Here is a 15,213-nt window from a genome sequence, read left to right as displayed (position 1 = left end):
ATATATAATATAATATATAATATATAATATTGTTTATATAATATATAATATTGTATATAATATATAATATTGTTTATATAATATATAATATTGTATATAATATATAATATTATATATAATATATATATAAATGCCTATTTTATTTAACCTTAACCACACAGGAATGAGGGAGAGCACTAGCACAGATAACGTAACAGGACATTATCTATAATTAAGGACTTTCCAGTGGTGTCACCAGGCTGAAATAGGGCCAGTCCAACAGAATATAATATAGAAACCATCAAATTTGGCAGAGATGAAAAACAAAACAGAAAAACAAAAAGAGTAGATGAATGACCCCCAAGCTCATGAATGACTGACACAGTGCAACAAGAAGTAATGACACAAGGAAGTTTGGTACCACAGAATGTATCCTCTCAAAATTTTAAAAGCCTAGGTATCACTGTATTTGTTTGGTAGTACAGTTCTCTAATCCTGGACTGTCAGAAACACTACAACTAGAAGTGGTTTACTGTCTACCTTTTTAAAAGCCAGCTTTCCTCATTCATAAAATTAAAGAGGAGGATCGTATCTCTAAGATCCCTCTCCTCTGAAATGTGATGTGTGTATAATTTTACTTCATTTAAAGAGGAAGCTGACTTTACTACCAGCTAAAATAATCACTATTACTGTAAACAGGTTTAAAGCAATTTAAGACAATAGGGTAAAACAGTATTCCCAGGACCAATAACATATGAAATAGTTGAGATTATTATTGCCAAATACTACTTGAAAATGCCATATATTGGCAAAAGTTAGCAAAAGGGGATTTTTTCATCTCACCAAAGAAATAGCTTTCTTTCTAAATATAGTCATATGTCACTTAACCATGAGGATACATTCGAGAAGTGCATTATTAGGCAATTTATTCATTGTGTGAACATCATGGTGTAAACTTACACAAATCTACATGGTGTAGCCTAGTACTCACCCAGACTATATGGTATAGTCTATTGCTCCTGGGCTACAAACCTGTATAGCACGTAACTGTACCAAATACTGTAGGCAACCGTAACACAACGGTAAGGACCTGTGCATCTAAACATCGAGAAGGTATTGTAAAAATCCTGATGGGACTACAGTCATATATGTAGCCCATCATTGACCAAAGCATCCTTACATGGTACATGACTGTATATAAACAAAGTAAGTATACGTGTGTGTGTGTGTGTGTGTGTGTGTGTGTGTGTGTGTGTGTGTGTGTGTCCCAGCACTTTGGGAGGCTGAGGTGGGAGGATCACTTGAGGCCAGGAATTCAAGACTAGCCTGGGCAACATAGCAAGACCCTGTCTCTACAAAAAATTTAAAAATTAGCCAGGAATGGTGACTTATGCCTTTAATCCTAGCTACTCAGGAGGCTGAGGCAGGAGGATTACTTGAATCCAGCAGCACAGTCAAGGCTGCAGTGAGCTGTGATCGTGCCACTGCACTCCAGGCTGGGAGACAAAAGGAGACACTGTCTCAATTAAAAAAAAAATGTTGCTACCAAAAAAAACCCAGTGAGGTTGAAAGACACCTCAGATAATCACCATTGATAGTTATTATCCTTTCATCTATTTCTTTTTAATATAGATTTCCTTATGCATACACATCACAAAAAATGGATGACTAATTGTTTCATGTTCAACACTATCCATGCATTTAAGTTGGCACAGCCAACCACCATTCTGAAGGAAGGCATGGAACATCTCAGTGGCAAAACAATGCAAACAATGCAATAAGAGAGGGAACTGAATTGCTAAAAGTGAAAACTACTTGAATTAGGCATTGGGTTATTCTTTTTCTTTTTCTTTCTTTCTTTTTTTATAAGTAGGCAAATGCTTTCATGTTATTCTTTATTTTCATTGGTTCAAAAATTGTACTGCCAATGCTATCTTTCCTCAACATGTCAGACTTCTTAACATGCACCAACTGAGTGGCTAAATCCCAAGCCTTCATTTCAGGGGTTACAAAGATGGAAAAATGAATTAGCTGAAGAATTGCCTTACCACTATGATCCAGGACAAAGTCATCTTGGGCATAACGAAATTTTTCTGGTCCACATGCAATAAAAACATCGTCATCACCAAAAAAGTCTTGCAGACAAGTAACCTGAGAACAAAAATCATGTCCAAGAAATAAATTAGACACATTAGAAGTGAAATGAAAAGCAAAACTAAATGAATTTTTAAGCCTGAATTTTAAGTATTGAAGTGGAAGAGAAAGCTGTGTAATATAACTACGTTTCTAAGCACTTTACCTTCACAAAGCACTTTTACACATTCTCTCAACCTCAGAACAACAGAGTCAAGGATTCATGACATGCATCAATATTCCTTTTTCACAGGTGAAGTCAAGGACGTACATGCAAAAAGGTACGTGATTTTTCCCCCAGGTTCCCCACAGATGGGTGGTGAAGCTGACATTCATGAAGGCCTCTGCTCTCAGTTTAGTATTCTTTTCCATACTGCCCTTCTTCCCTCTCCTAACAACTCTGCTTCCCACTGTGTGACCTTGGGTGTGACTTCTCTGTACCTCTGCTACCGTGCCTTGGGTTGTTTCGAGGATTAATATATAAAAACTGCTTGGAACAATGTCTGCACATGAGTGCTCAATGTGTTAATAGTCACCCCCATCATCCCTACCACCAGCATTATCAAGATCAAGGGAAGATTTGCCATGAAGCTAATGAGGCTTAAGCTTCAGGGATCTTCTAATGCCCTATATCTAAATATGTGGTCTCAATTTCACTTGTTTTTTTTTTTTTTTTTGAGACGCAATCTTGCTCTGTCACCAGGCTGGAGTGCAGTGGTGCGATTTCGGCTCACTGCAATCTCCATCTCCCAAGTTCAAATGATTCTCCTGTCTCAGCCTCCCAAGTAGCTGGGACTACAGGTGCATGCCACCACACCCAGCTAATTTTTTATATTTTTAGTAAAGACAGGGTTTCACCATGTTGGCCAGGATGGTCTTGATCTCCTGACCTCGTGATCTGCCTGCCTCGGCCTCCTAAAGTGCTGGGATTACAGGTGTGAGTCACCATGCCCAGCCCAATTTCACATTCTTTTTTCAAAAAGGGCCTCCCTTCCATACTGTATTAGTTTCAGTTCCACAGAACCTGGATCTATCCCAGGGAGCACATTCATCCATTTATCCCAGTGGTGACCAGAAGAACCATCTTCTAGGACTTTGAACATAGATAGGCTTTATTTTCACCAGTTTTCAATGGGATATGTGGTAAGCTTTCTTCTTAAGAAGTAATCCATTTCCAACAAAGTTAGGAAAAAACAAACAACACTCTAGTACTTGAACAGGCTGACAAATCTCAATATTCGTTAAGTTTTCCGAATCACTATTTAGCTTTTCATTGGGGAAAAAAAGAGGTCTCACTACAGAGTTAGAAAACAATGCTCCAGAGAGAAGAAAGTGAACTAGATACAATGTAGATGGCTCAGGTCATATTATTTAAGTGACCCAAATGATGTGCCTTTTTGCAATGCCAAGAAGTTGACTGCACAGACAGTAAGAGAAACAGGCATGGAGACTGCCTGTTTGTTCCAATTCTCTTCAAGCAAGATGTGGCTTCTGTATCTCACTGAAACGGCTCTAGCTACAGTGTCCAGGGCCTTTAAGAACTGTATTTTCAATTGTTCCTGTTCTCTTCTATCTCCGTTGGTGTTAGCACACACCCCTTCACTCATGCTAGAATTCAGGGAGTCATCCTTTCTCCTTTCCTCACCAACCGCTCACATTTAGGCCTTTTTACTTCTTACATGGTTTTCAAGCGTCTCTACTTCTATTCCTTGGTTCCTTCTCTCTTACCTGGACTCCTGACATGGCCCTGGAACAGGTTTGCTAACCTATCTTCCACCACTCCCTGGAATCTGTCATTTCTGTTTGCAAGGGTATCGGTATACTGTCTCTCACAGGTATGACTGGGTGATCACGTACCACTCAGCCCTCAGTGGCTACCTTTTATGGCAAGATAATGCTCCTTCAAAGGGTGCATTCAACTGACCCCCAACCCTGTCTTTGCCATGTCTTCTGTTCACCCAACAGCCAAGTCAAGATGACTTTGGGTTGCCTGCCCACACAGTGCTAATGGGTTTTTTGTTTGTTCCTTTTGAGACAGGGTCTCACTCTGTCACCCAGGCAGGAGTGCAGTGACACAGTCTCAGCTCACTGCAGCCTTAACCTCTGGGCTTAAATGATCCTCCTACCTCAACCTACTGAGTAGCTGGGACCATAGGTGTGTAGCACCATGCCTAGCTAAATCTTAATTTATTTATTTATGTAGATAGGTAGGTAGGTAGGTAAGTAGGTAGAGATGGGGTCTCCCTATGTTGCCCAGGCTGCTCTCTAACTCCTGGGCTCAAGCAATCCTCCCACCTTGGTCTCCCAAACTGCTGGTGTTTTGTTGTTTTTTTAAAAGCGTTTATTGAGCTGTAATTCGCAGACCACACAATTCACCCAGTTAAGGTCCACAATTCAATGTTTTTTTTAGTATATTAAGAGTTGTGCGACTATCACTGCAATTTACTTTGAATATTTTCATCATCCCCAGAAGAAACACCATGCCCATTAGCAGTCACTCCCCATAAACCCCTTTCCACATCCCAGGCACCCATAATCTACTTTCTAGCTCTGCAGATTTGCCAGTTCTGGACACTTCATGTATACGGAACCATAAGATATGTGGCATTTGATGACTGGCTTCTTTTACTTAGCACGTTTTTAAGGTTCATCCATGTTGTAACATTTATCAGCAGTTCATTCCTTCTATAGCTGAATAGTCCATGGTATGGATATATAATATTTTGTTCATTTTTTCATCAGTTTAGGACATCTGGGTTATTTTTAGCTTCAGAGCTGATTCTTACCACCATGCCTTTCCTCACACTGTTTCCCAGGCCTTTCTGACATCTATCCGTCCGTCTGTCTGTCTGTCTGCCTATCTATCTATCTATCTATCTATCTATCTATCTATCTATCTATCTATCTATCTATCTATCTAACTATCCATCTATCCATCTATCTATCTATATCTATCCAGGGTCTCAACTCTGTTGCCCAGGCTAGGGTGCAGTAGCATGATCACGGCTCACTGTGCAGCCACAACCTCCACAACCTCCTGGGCTCAAGTGATCCTCCTGCCTCAGTTTCCTGAGTAGCTGGGACCACAGCCACCACACTTGGCCTTTTTTTTTTTTTTTTTGAGACAGGGTCTCCCTATGATGCCCATAAGTTTGAGTTGCCAGGAGTTCAAGTCTCAACTCCTGGGCTCAAGTGATCCTCCTGTCTTGGCTTCCCAAAATGCTGGATTTACAGGCACCCACAGCCTGACCACCCTTTAGTGTCCTGACCTCCAGGTGGGCATGGGTGTTCCCTGTTCATCATTCCCACAGGTCTAGTAGAGTTCCTGGCTTTAGCGGGTGCTTGATACAGGTTTGCCAAATGAACTGTGGCTCTGCATGGGCTTCTCCTATTGGAACTGAGTTCTCAGACCAGAGTAACTTTTCCAGGTGAGTGGTACAACGGCTACATTATCCACTGCCCTCACCACCACTTACATTTAGGACTTACTAAGTCTAGGCATCAATTAACCTCTCTGAATTTTCTGTCTATATGGCGGCATGTATTATCTCAATCCCTACAACAATCCCACGAGGTTATACTATTATCATCCTTCATTTATAAACAAGAAAACAGATATAAAGAGAGAAACTTGCCCAGACACAGGTAACAAATGAGAACCCAGCAATTTAGGTGCAAGTCCTCTACTTTTGCATCTCTGCTTTCCAGTTGACAGCATGCGGCTTTCTCATCTGAAATCCCACAGGTCCTCTTTCTACTTACAGTTCTTGTTCATTTTACCTTATTTGTAGTCATTAATGTCTTGTTTTATAGTCAGTTATGTCTACCTTATATTTCTAACTATTTTATTTTTCACATCCATATATTCAATAAATGGTTCTTAAATGGAATTGAACTGATTTTTATTTTTTTTGGCCAAATAAAAATGTATCTACTGCAGTTTAATATAATTTTTTTTAAAAAGGGAAATTGCATTTTTTGCAATTAATTTAGCATGAAGAAATAACTGAATTTTAAAAAACATATCTGAATGAATCTGAAAAAAATCAGTTAATTTTTAATTGATTTTATTACAAGGAAATATTTCACCTGGTACTAAATTAGTTGGCATTTGATTAGCATAAATAACAGTAAATAATCAAGGTACTATCTGGAATAGAAGCATTTAACAAGTCTCAGGAACATAATGTATCAAAAAGGTGACTTTTTTTTTCCATAGAAGCTTATTTGGCTTTTTTTTTTTTTTTTTTTGAGACAGAGTCTCGCTCTGTCACCCAGGCTGGAGTGCAGTGGCATGATCTAGGCTCACTGCAAGCTCTGCCTCCCAGGTTCACGCCATTCTCCTGCCTCAGCCTCCCGAGTAGCTGGGATTACAGGCGCCCACTGCCACCATGCCCAGCTTATTTTTTTGTATTTTTAGTAGAGATGGGGCTTCACCATGTTAGCCAGGATGGTCTCGATCTCCTGACCTCGTGATCCGCCTGCCTCAGCCTCCCATAGTGTTGGGATTACAGGCGTGAGCCACCATGCCCGGCCCTTGGATCTTCTTAATTGACCTTTTAATGATTTCACCTGTCAGTTTAAGTTTGGATTCCCAAACATAGTGTACATAAGATGTCTGCCTCCCTCTGATTCAGGTTCTAGTCACTGAATGCCTATTTGGTTAAGCAGTTAACCAAATTATACAATTTTCTTTTTCTCTTTCTGTTGCCTTGGCTGGAGTGCAGTGTTGCGATCTTGGCTCACTGCAACTTCCACCTCCCAGGCTCAAGGGATTCTCACACCTCAGCCTTCCAGGGACTACAGGCATGCGGCACCACACTTGGTTAATTTTTGTATTTTTTGTTAGAGGCCAGGTTTCACTATGTTGCCCAGGCTGGTCTTGAACTCCTGGGCTCAGGCAATCTACCTGCCTCAGCCTCTCAAAGTGTTGGGATGACAAATGTTAGCCGCCACACCTGGGCACAATTTTTCAACTAGGTTCTGATATGCCTTAATTCAGTCACTGCTACTGGCAAAGAAATGACAGCTATAAAGTGAATAAAAGATATAACTGATGCCAGAAGCAGTGGCTCACGCGTGCAATCCCAACACTTTGGGAGGCCAAGGGGTGCGGATCATGAGGTCAAGAGCTCAAGACCATCCTAGCCAACATGGCGAAACCCCGTCTCTACTAAAAGTATAAAAATTAGCTGGGTGTGGTGGCACGCACCTGTAGTCCCAGTTACTCGGGAGGCTGAAGCAGGGGGAATCGCTTGAACCGGGGAGGCAGAGGTTGCAGTGAGCCGAGATCGCACCACTGCACTCCAGCCTAGCGACAGAGCAAGACTCTGTCACAAAAAAAAAAAAAAAGTACAACTGAGAAACAAAACATGTCGCAGGTATACTCGGGACAGGGACATATCTCACAAGATGTTAAACAACTTCAGCCTCCACCCATTTAAAGTGTTTTTACTGAGCACTCATTATGTGCCAGGCACTATTCTAGGTGCTACAGGATACATCAGTAAAGGAAGAAAAAAGAGACAAAAATTATTGACCTCATTAAGGAAGTGTGTGCACAGGTAAATTTATGTCACAACAGAAGATAAAGAGCACAGAAGGGGAGTAGTGAATGCAGAGGATGGGTGCTGCAGTACTAAAGAGGGTGGTCAGGAAAGGCTTCATTGCAAAGGTGACATTTGAACAAAATACTGGAAGCAAGTCACATGAATATCTGTAAGGGAAAGTGTTCCAGGCAGAGGGAAAGAAATGTACAAAAGCCCTGTGGAAAGATCATTAAAGAACACAGTCTACCAGCAGCTCCCTAGAATAGTCATAAAATGGGCTGGGTGCAGTGGCTCATGTCTTTAATCCCAGTGCTTTGGGAGGCCAAGGCAGGAAGACTGCATGAGCCAAGCAGTTTGAGGCTGCAGTAGCTATGATCATACCACTGCACTATACTCTGGGTGACACAGCAAGACTCTGTCTCAAAAATCAAAAATAAATAACCATAAAATGGATAAGAAAGATTTGACTTAAAGCAAAGCAATGGTTTGGTATATATCTATATATGTGAGCTGCATGCAAAATACGAACATTTTTTAGATAATGTAAATAAACAGAATTGTAAGCACATCGATCTTATTTTTATGCTAAAATTACATTTGCATATTTAACAATAGACCTCTTTAGTCTAATGCAATCATTATTTGCCCATGCTTAAATTTCACAAGTATATGAGACTACACACACACACACACACACACACACACACACACATTTTGAGATAGAGTCACTCTGTTGCCCAGGCTGGAGTGCAGTGGCACGATCACAGCTCACTGCAGCCTCAACCTCCTGGGCTCAGGTGATCCTCTCACTCTGGCCTCTCAAAGTGCTGGTATTACACATGTGAGACACTGTGCCCAGCCTGGGACTACGTATTTAACTGTTCCTAGTAGTGGCCCAAATTCAGTTGATACTTTTTAATGTAGAACATCTGATAAAATGCCCAGGATCTGATATAAAGTAAAGTAACTCTCACCAAGGAATGTACTACTGCACATTCATTCATTCTAACATTAATCAAGTGCCTACTATAATATGCCAGGCATAAATAAAAGACAAGAAGCACACAGTCTAGTGATGAAAATGGACAAGACAACTAATAATTTCAGTTTAAAATGTTACAATAGGGTGAATGTTATAGAAGAACACCCTGACTATTATGGGAATAAAGGAACACAACTTGATAAAAACAGAACCCATAAAATACTTAGTACCTTTAAAATATCTGTTTGGACACTAAGATAATTTTTCTATGTTTTACAACATATTCTGTGTTCTTTAACTCTGGTAATCTGTATGTTCCTTTTACCATTTATTTTTTAAACGAGTTGAACACTGAGGTATGGACCAGGTCGCTAAATCCGTCTGAGGAAAAAAAAAAATCAGTATGAATAACATCTCAGAATCATTCTTAACAAGGGTGAGGAAAAGTGTATCAGTTTAGAAGGCCTCTTACTGTTTGCTTCTAAATTCTTTCTACAATGCAAAGAAGAATTAACTCTTCCAGAAGCTCATCAGGAATAATGGATGCCACGTGGCCTGTGAAAGCAAGCTATACAAACGAGGGGAAAGTAATATTTCTGCTAAGGTGCACAATTAAAGCAATCAGTTAGGATCTAATGGGGAAACATCCAAGTGAAAAATAACGTATCTACAGGAGTCCATCTAAGTTTTCCAAATGAATGAGGGCGACTTTAAAAAGTAATTTTTCTATCCTTCACTAGACAGATTAATCAGGTTAGGGTGAATAGGTGCCAGCCATAATTTCAGTGCTAGCTCGTAACAGCTTGCCACAACCACTCTTTTTCTTTCCCTATTTGGTATCTATTAAAAGATACAAAAACGTGTGAAAGAGGCTTGAGGTCTGATTTATTAATTAATTTTTTTTTTTTTTTGAGATGAAATCTCACTCTGTCGCCCAGGCTGGAGTACAATGACGCTATCTCAGCTCACTGCAACCTCCACCTCCCCGGTTCAAGCGATTCTTCTGCCTCAGCCTCCCGAGTAGTTGGGATTACAGGCACCCACCACCACGTCCGGCTAATTCTTGTACTTTTAGTAGAGGTGGGGTTTTGCCATGTTGGTCAGGCTGGTCTCGAACTCCTGACCTCAGGTGATCCGCCCGCATTGGCCTCCCATTACAGGCATGAGCCACCATGCCAGGCGAGGTCTGATTAAAAAAAAAAAAATACTATGCATGATATGATCTGGCTCTGTGTCCCCACCCAAATCTCATCTTGAATTGTAATCCAAACTGTAATCCCCACGCGTTGGAGGAGAAACCTCGTGGGAGGTAATTAGATCATGGGGGTGGTCCCCCTGTGCTCTTCTTGTGATAGGGAGTGAGTTCTCTCAAGATCTGATGGTTTTATAAGGGGCTTTCCCCACCTTGGCTCATTCTTCTCCTTCCTGGACCATATGAAGGACATGTTTTCTTCCCCTTTGGCATGATTGTAAGTTTCCTGAGGCCTCCCCAGCCATGCTGAACCGTGAGTCAATTAAACCTCTTTCCTTTATGAATCACCCAGTCTCAGGTATTTCTTCATAGCAGTGTGAGAAGGAACTAATACAATGCATATATTAGTAGCATAATAAACCCTTTCCTCAAAACAAAAAAAAGAGGACACACAGAGATCATCTTCTCTGGACACTTACATTCTGAACCCGAGTGGGGTGTGTTAGGAATTAAGAGTAAGAAACATAAGACTGGCCGGGCACGGAGGCTCACGCCTGTAATCCCAGCACTTTGGGAGGCTGAGGCGGGCGGATCATGAGGTCAGGAGATTGAGACCATCCTGGCTAATATGGTGAAACCCCGTCTCTACTAAAAATACAAAAAATTAGCCGGGCATGGTGGCGGGTGTCTGTAGTCCCAGCTACTCGGGAGGCTAAGACAGGAGAATGGCGTGAACCCAGGAGGTCGAGCTTGCAGTGAGCCGAGATCGCGCTACTGCACTCCAGCCTGGGCGACAGAGTGAGACTCCGTCTCAAAAAAAAAAAAAAAAAAGAAGAAGAAGAAGAAGAAGAAACACAAGACTGACACCCATTTCCTGACCCATTGACACTCTTTGGAAATCTTGTGTTTCTTACTCTTTCCAGAAGTACACAGGAGTTGGTGTCAAAGCAAGTTGGATTTCTCTAAGACCCCTTCCTGCTCTAAGATTCTAAAGTCTAAATATTTTAGTTTCTTAAAAGAGCTATTATTTATATTTTAGGAGACTGCTTTTAGAAAAGTTGAAATGCATTTTTCTGAGAGAGAGTAAAAGAAACACTATTTTAAGTGGCTACATAGTAATGTCCATCGATTTCTTTCTGTTCAAGATTTAGCTTTGCATGTCCTCAAAGAAATCTTCAAAGCCCCTCCAAATCCAGATGTTTCCTCAATACTCTAACTCACTCAAGATAGATGTTATCATTGAGGTTAACTGCCTGGTTTTGTGTCTGGACCTCTCACCAGACTGAGCACCATACATGCAGTCTTGTTCACCACTATAATTCCAGCATTACATAGCACCTAGCATATAGGCTTTGCTTAATACATTTCTGTTGAATGCATAATGATTGAAATGCCTTGAGGCTGGGTGTGGTGGCTCACGCCTGTAATCCCAGCACTTAGGGAGGCCAAGGCAGGCAGATCACTTGGGGTCAGGAGTTCGAGACCAGCCTGGGCAACATGGAGAAACTCCATCACTACAAAAAAATAGAAAAATGAGCCAGGTGTGGTGGCTCATGCCTGTGGTCCCAGCTACTTGGGGGGCTGAGACTAAAGGACCATTTGAGCCAGGAAGTGGAGGCTGTGGTGAACCAAGATTGCGCCACTGCACTCTAGCCTGGGAAATAGAGTGAGACTCTGTCTCCAAAAAAAAAAAAAGAAAAAGAAAAAAAGAAATCAAAAGAAATGCCTTGGGTCCTACTTTTTCCAGGTAGCCCTCTCTAGAGGGTCCATCTCATACTCTATGGATTCCTATCAACTCATTATAATGCAGAGTAGTCCTGGTTCCCAAATTTATGATGTTAGTTTTCTATCCCAAGATAACCTATAAATTGTTTGGGTAGACCAGTCAAATCCTATGTAGCTCCTTATAAAAGATATAGCAAATACTTGGTTGATCAAATTTTGGCCCTGGACACCTTAAAATAACTCTAAAAACTGATCTTACATCATATAAGCTCTTTCAAGAATTAAATCTCTTTTATTATTATTTCAGGATGATTTGAGAAAAACTACTTGTGAAATCTGCTACTGCAACAATTTGGTAGAAGGGATTTAAAGCACTGCAATTTGCAATTACACTCCACATTTGGTGCTATTCAGAGACTTCAGATTGCATTAAATGAGGGTCTCTTGAGATATTTTCCACGGCTATTTTATTGACATTTTCTAAGATCTGATAAAAATTCAAAAGGAACATCACTGGATCTCAGTGAGAAACTGGTTTAAACTGGCATCTACTTATCTAAACAGAGTAAAGGGAAAATCCTAGCCCTCTTGAAATGTCCATCTTTTGAACAAGGACCACATTTTATAGAAGACGTAATGGGAAGATAGATATCAGGAGTATAGAATAGATCAGCATTTTTTATGGATTTTCTTTAACTGTGTTGGCAGGTGGTGGGGGCGGTTGGTGGTGTGAAAGAGAGAGAGAGAGAACAAAAATCCCTACCTCCTGCTGAAATTAAATGCTTTCATTATCAGAATTCAGCTAAAAGGCTGTCTCTATCTAAGAGTAGTTAAAAAAACAAAATATTTCTACATTGCTTCTAAAAAGGATTTGAAGGAACTCAGAAAGGAAGTCCAGTAAATGGCTTATCTTTGAAACTAAAAATACTCTATAGGCTTTTAATAAAACTATATTGATAGCCTTCATTTTTTTCCCTAAGAAATGGTCATGTTACAAGTCATAAAATGCCAAAAGGGAGCTGCATTTCATTTTAAACCCCCCAAACAATATTCTACTACATATAAGTTTTCTATCATGTAAGCAAGCAGAAATACAACTTTTTAAAGATGTAAAGAACATACCACAACGTTAACATGCAATAAACGATGACCTAAGATCTGCCTGAGCCATTATCATTATTTCTATTGCTGGCATGAGACACTTATTTTAAATAACTGCCCATCTAGATGCTTGAAGGCTATAAAATCAACAAATTAACTACATTGTAACTAACGTTATTCCAGACATGACTCTTTCCCACTCCATTTTTCTTAAACAGTTCTACCCCTAGGATAAAAGTTTTGCTTCAAATGATTTGGGAGGCCAGGTAGAGTGGTTCATGTCTGTAATTCCATCACTTTAGGAGGCTGAGGTGAGAGGATCGCTTGAGGCCGGGAGCTCAAGACCAGCCTGGGCAACATAGTGATACTTTGTTTCTACAGAAAATCAAAAAATTAGCTGGGCGTGGTGATGCACAACTGTGGTCCCAGCTACTGAGAGGCAGAGGTGGGAGGATAACTTGAGCCTGGGAGGTCAAGGCTGCAGCGAACCGAGATGGTGCCACAGCACTCCAGCCTGGACAAGAGAGTGAGATCCTGTCTCGAAAAAAATTTTTTTAATTAAAAAAAAAAATGAACAGGGAAACCATATCTGAAATAAAGGAAAGGTAAATCATTTGGTCCTTCCAAAATGCTAGTGACAACAACCAGATAAACAAATTCACAGGTCAGTAAGCAGAGGCTGGGATTCTCCCCATTTCTTTACCCTTGGCCCAGAGTACAATGAGCATAAATAGCCCTCTTTGTTCCCAGTAAATGTTGGCTGGCCTACAGTAAGGGAAGGACCCTTTCTACAGGAAGAAGAAAGCTACTTAGAATAGCAATGTTTTTCAGCTTCCTGTAAATTCATTCAGCCAGGCACTCAGGGACCATGTGGTTGCCATGGAAACAGAACTGAAGCTAAAAGATGACAGTTCTTACAGTAAAGGGCTTCTCAAAGGCATCTGCAGACAGCTCCCTACATTTGGTTTGCTTCCTAAAAAATAAAAAAACACTGGATCTAACCTTTTCCCACTGCAACCTTCTCATAATAATAACTATTCACCAGTTAAGACCAATCATGGAATACTGAGACCAAAGATTTGGCTTTAGGAAGTGCCTCTTTCTATCAATAGGATGAAAAGGTTTTAAAGAATTCAGAGATATTGAGCTTCTAAATATATTCTGGGAGGAGAAGCAATCATCATTCTTCCTGTAAAAGAGGTCATTTCTATGTCAGTCCTCTGATTGCCCCCTACTGAGAGCCGCTCCCTACCCCCAGTCTTAATTCCCACAGGAAAAGGTTTCAAACCCACTCTGGAGCTTTCCACCAAGTGAAGAAGGCTGGAACTGTAGGGGCAGAAAGGTGATCCCTTTCTTCCCCATCGTAAGGATCACGGTAGACACTCCTATAACAAAAGACAGGTTAACAAAAGAAAAGCATAACAAATTTATTAAATTTTTAAAAATTTTTTTACATGACAAGCCCTCACAATGAAGACCCAAAGATACAGCTATCCACTTGTATGCTTAGGTCCAATCAAGAGTGGACAGCCATGTAGAAATATAATTGGACAAAGACTGTGACATAATGCTAGTAGACTGAGGTAGAGAAACTCAGCAATGCCTGTCTGTCCAGGGTGTTCCCGATCTCTGTGTGCAGCAGTCCCTCCTCCTGGGTTTGGGGCAGGACTCTTTCTGGAATGGGGGTCTTATGATCTACTACCACACAAGGTAGGTCAGATAATTTCTTTATGGCCAGCTCTTACAGAGAAAGGTTTGGGGAAAGTTAGAGGAATATTTTCAGGTTTTATGGCTGGCCTTGGGGAAAAGGGTTTCTGGTTTCTACGACCCACCTTGGGGAAGAGATTCTAGTTTCCGTGGCCTGCCTGGGGGAGAAAGAGGGGTAAGAGACCAGAGGGCAGGAGAAGGTCAGAGAGAGACTCTGCTTCTCAGGCTGTTTCTGATGCCTTCACTTTGGGGTATTGTGTTCTGCGCCCCAATAGAGCAAAGTTTTAGAAGAACTCAGGTGAAGAAGTCAGAAGAAACCTATTGAGTCCAATGATCATGAGCTTTTATTCTGAAGAAGCTAGAGTGGAACGTGTTCAAGCAGATGTGACTGGAACTTAAATAAATGCTCTCTAGGACTCAGTCATCTTCAAATAATAAACAAAAAATGAAATCATAAGTGTTATAGAGAAGGCAATTGAGAACCAAAGCAAAAGGTGGCAATCTTCCAATCCAAAATTTTCTATTTCCAACAGAAATGGAATGGGAACAAGCATGGAATACCTAACTATGCAATGACACAATGAATTTCACGTAACTCCCAGGAAACTACCTTGTGAAGTGGGGACTACCATTCCGATTTTACACAAAAAGAGGCTCAAAGAGGGTAAGTAACTTGTGCAAAGTCATACAGCCAGTAAGGGAGGAGCTGAGATTTACACTCTAACTTGGAACATACTCTTTATACTTGGACCACATACTGTCTCCCTAAAGAAGTATTAACAGTGTAATTTACAACCTATGAAAAAACATAACAGGGCTTATTGAGGTAAGTCAGATAATTTTTT

The 15,213-nt window shown here is 40.7% G+C and overlaps 1 protein-coding gene across 13 annotated transcripts in view; it reads right to left on the bottom strand.

The window, feature by feature from the left end:
- The window catches only part of DCLK2 (doublecortin like kinase 2), a 178,994-nt gene that overhangs the window by 62,171 nt on the left and 101,610 nt on the right, over positions 1–15,213 (bottom strand). For all 13 annotated transcript variants that reach the window (XR_007096380.1, NR_036614.2, XM_017007832.3 and 10 more), the window contains exon 3: positions 2,028–2,130. Coding sequence is in view for 11 of the 13 variants with exons in the window: in XM_017007832.3 (XP_016863321.1) it covers positions 2,028–2,130 (103 nt within the window). In the remaining 2 variants the exon portion in view is untranslated. The remainder of the gene's footprint in view (positions 1–2,027; positions 2,131–15,213) is intronic.

Source organism: Homo sapiens, chromosome 4 (genome assembly GCF_000001405.40).
Source record: "Homo sapiens chromosome 4, GRCh38.p14 Primary Assembly".
In the NCBI taxonomy this organism is placed as follows: Eukaryota; Metazoa; Chordata; class Mammalia; order Primates; family Hominidae; genus Homo; species Homo sapiens.
This window is presented reverse-complemented; position numbering and strand designations above follow the sequence as displayed.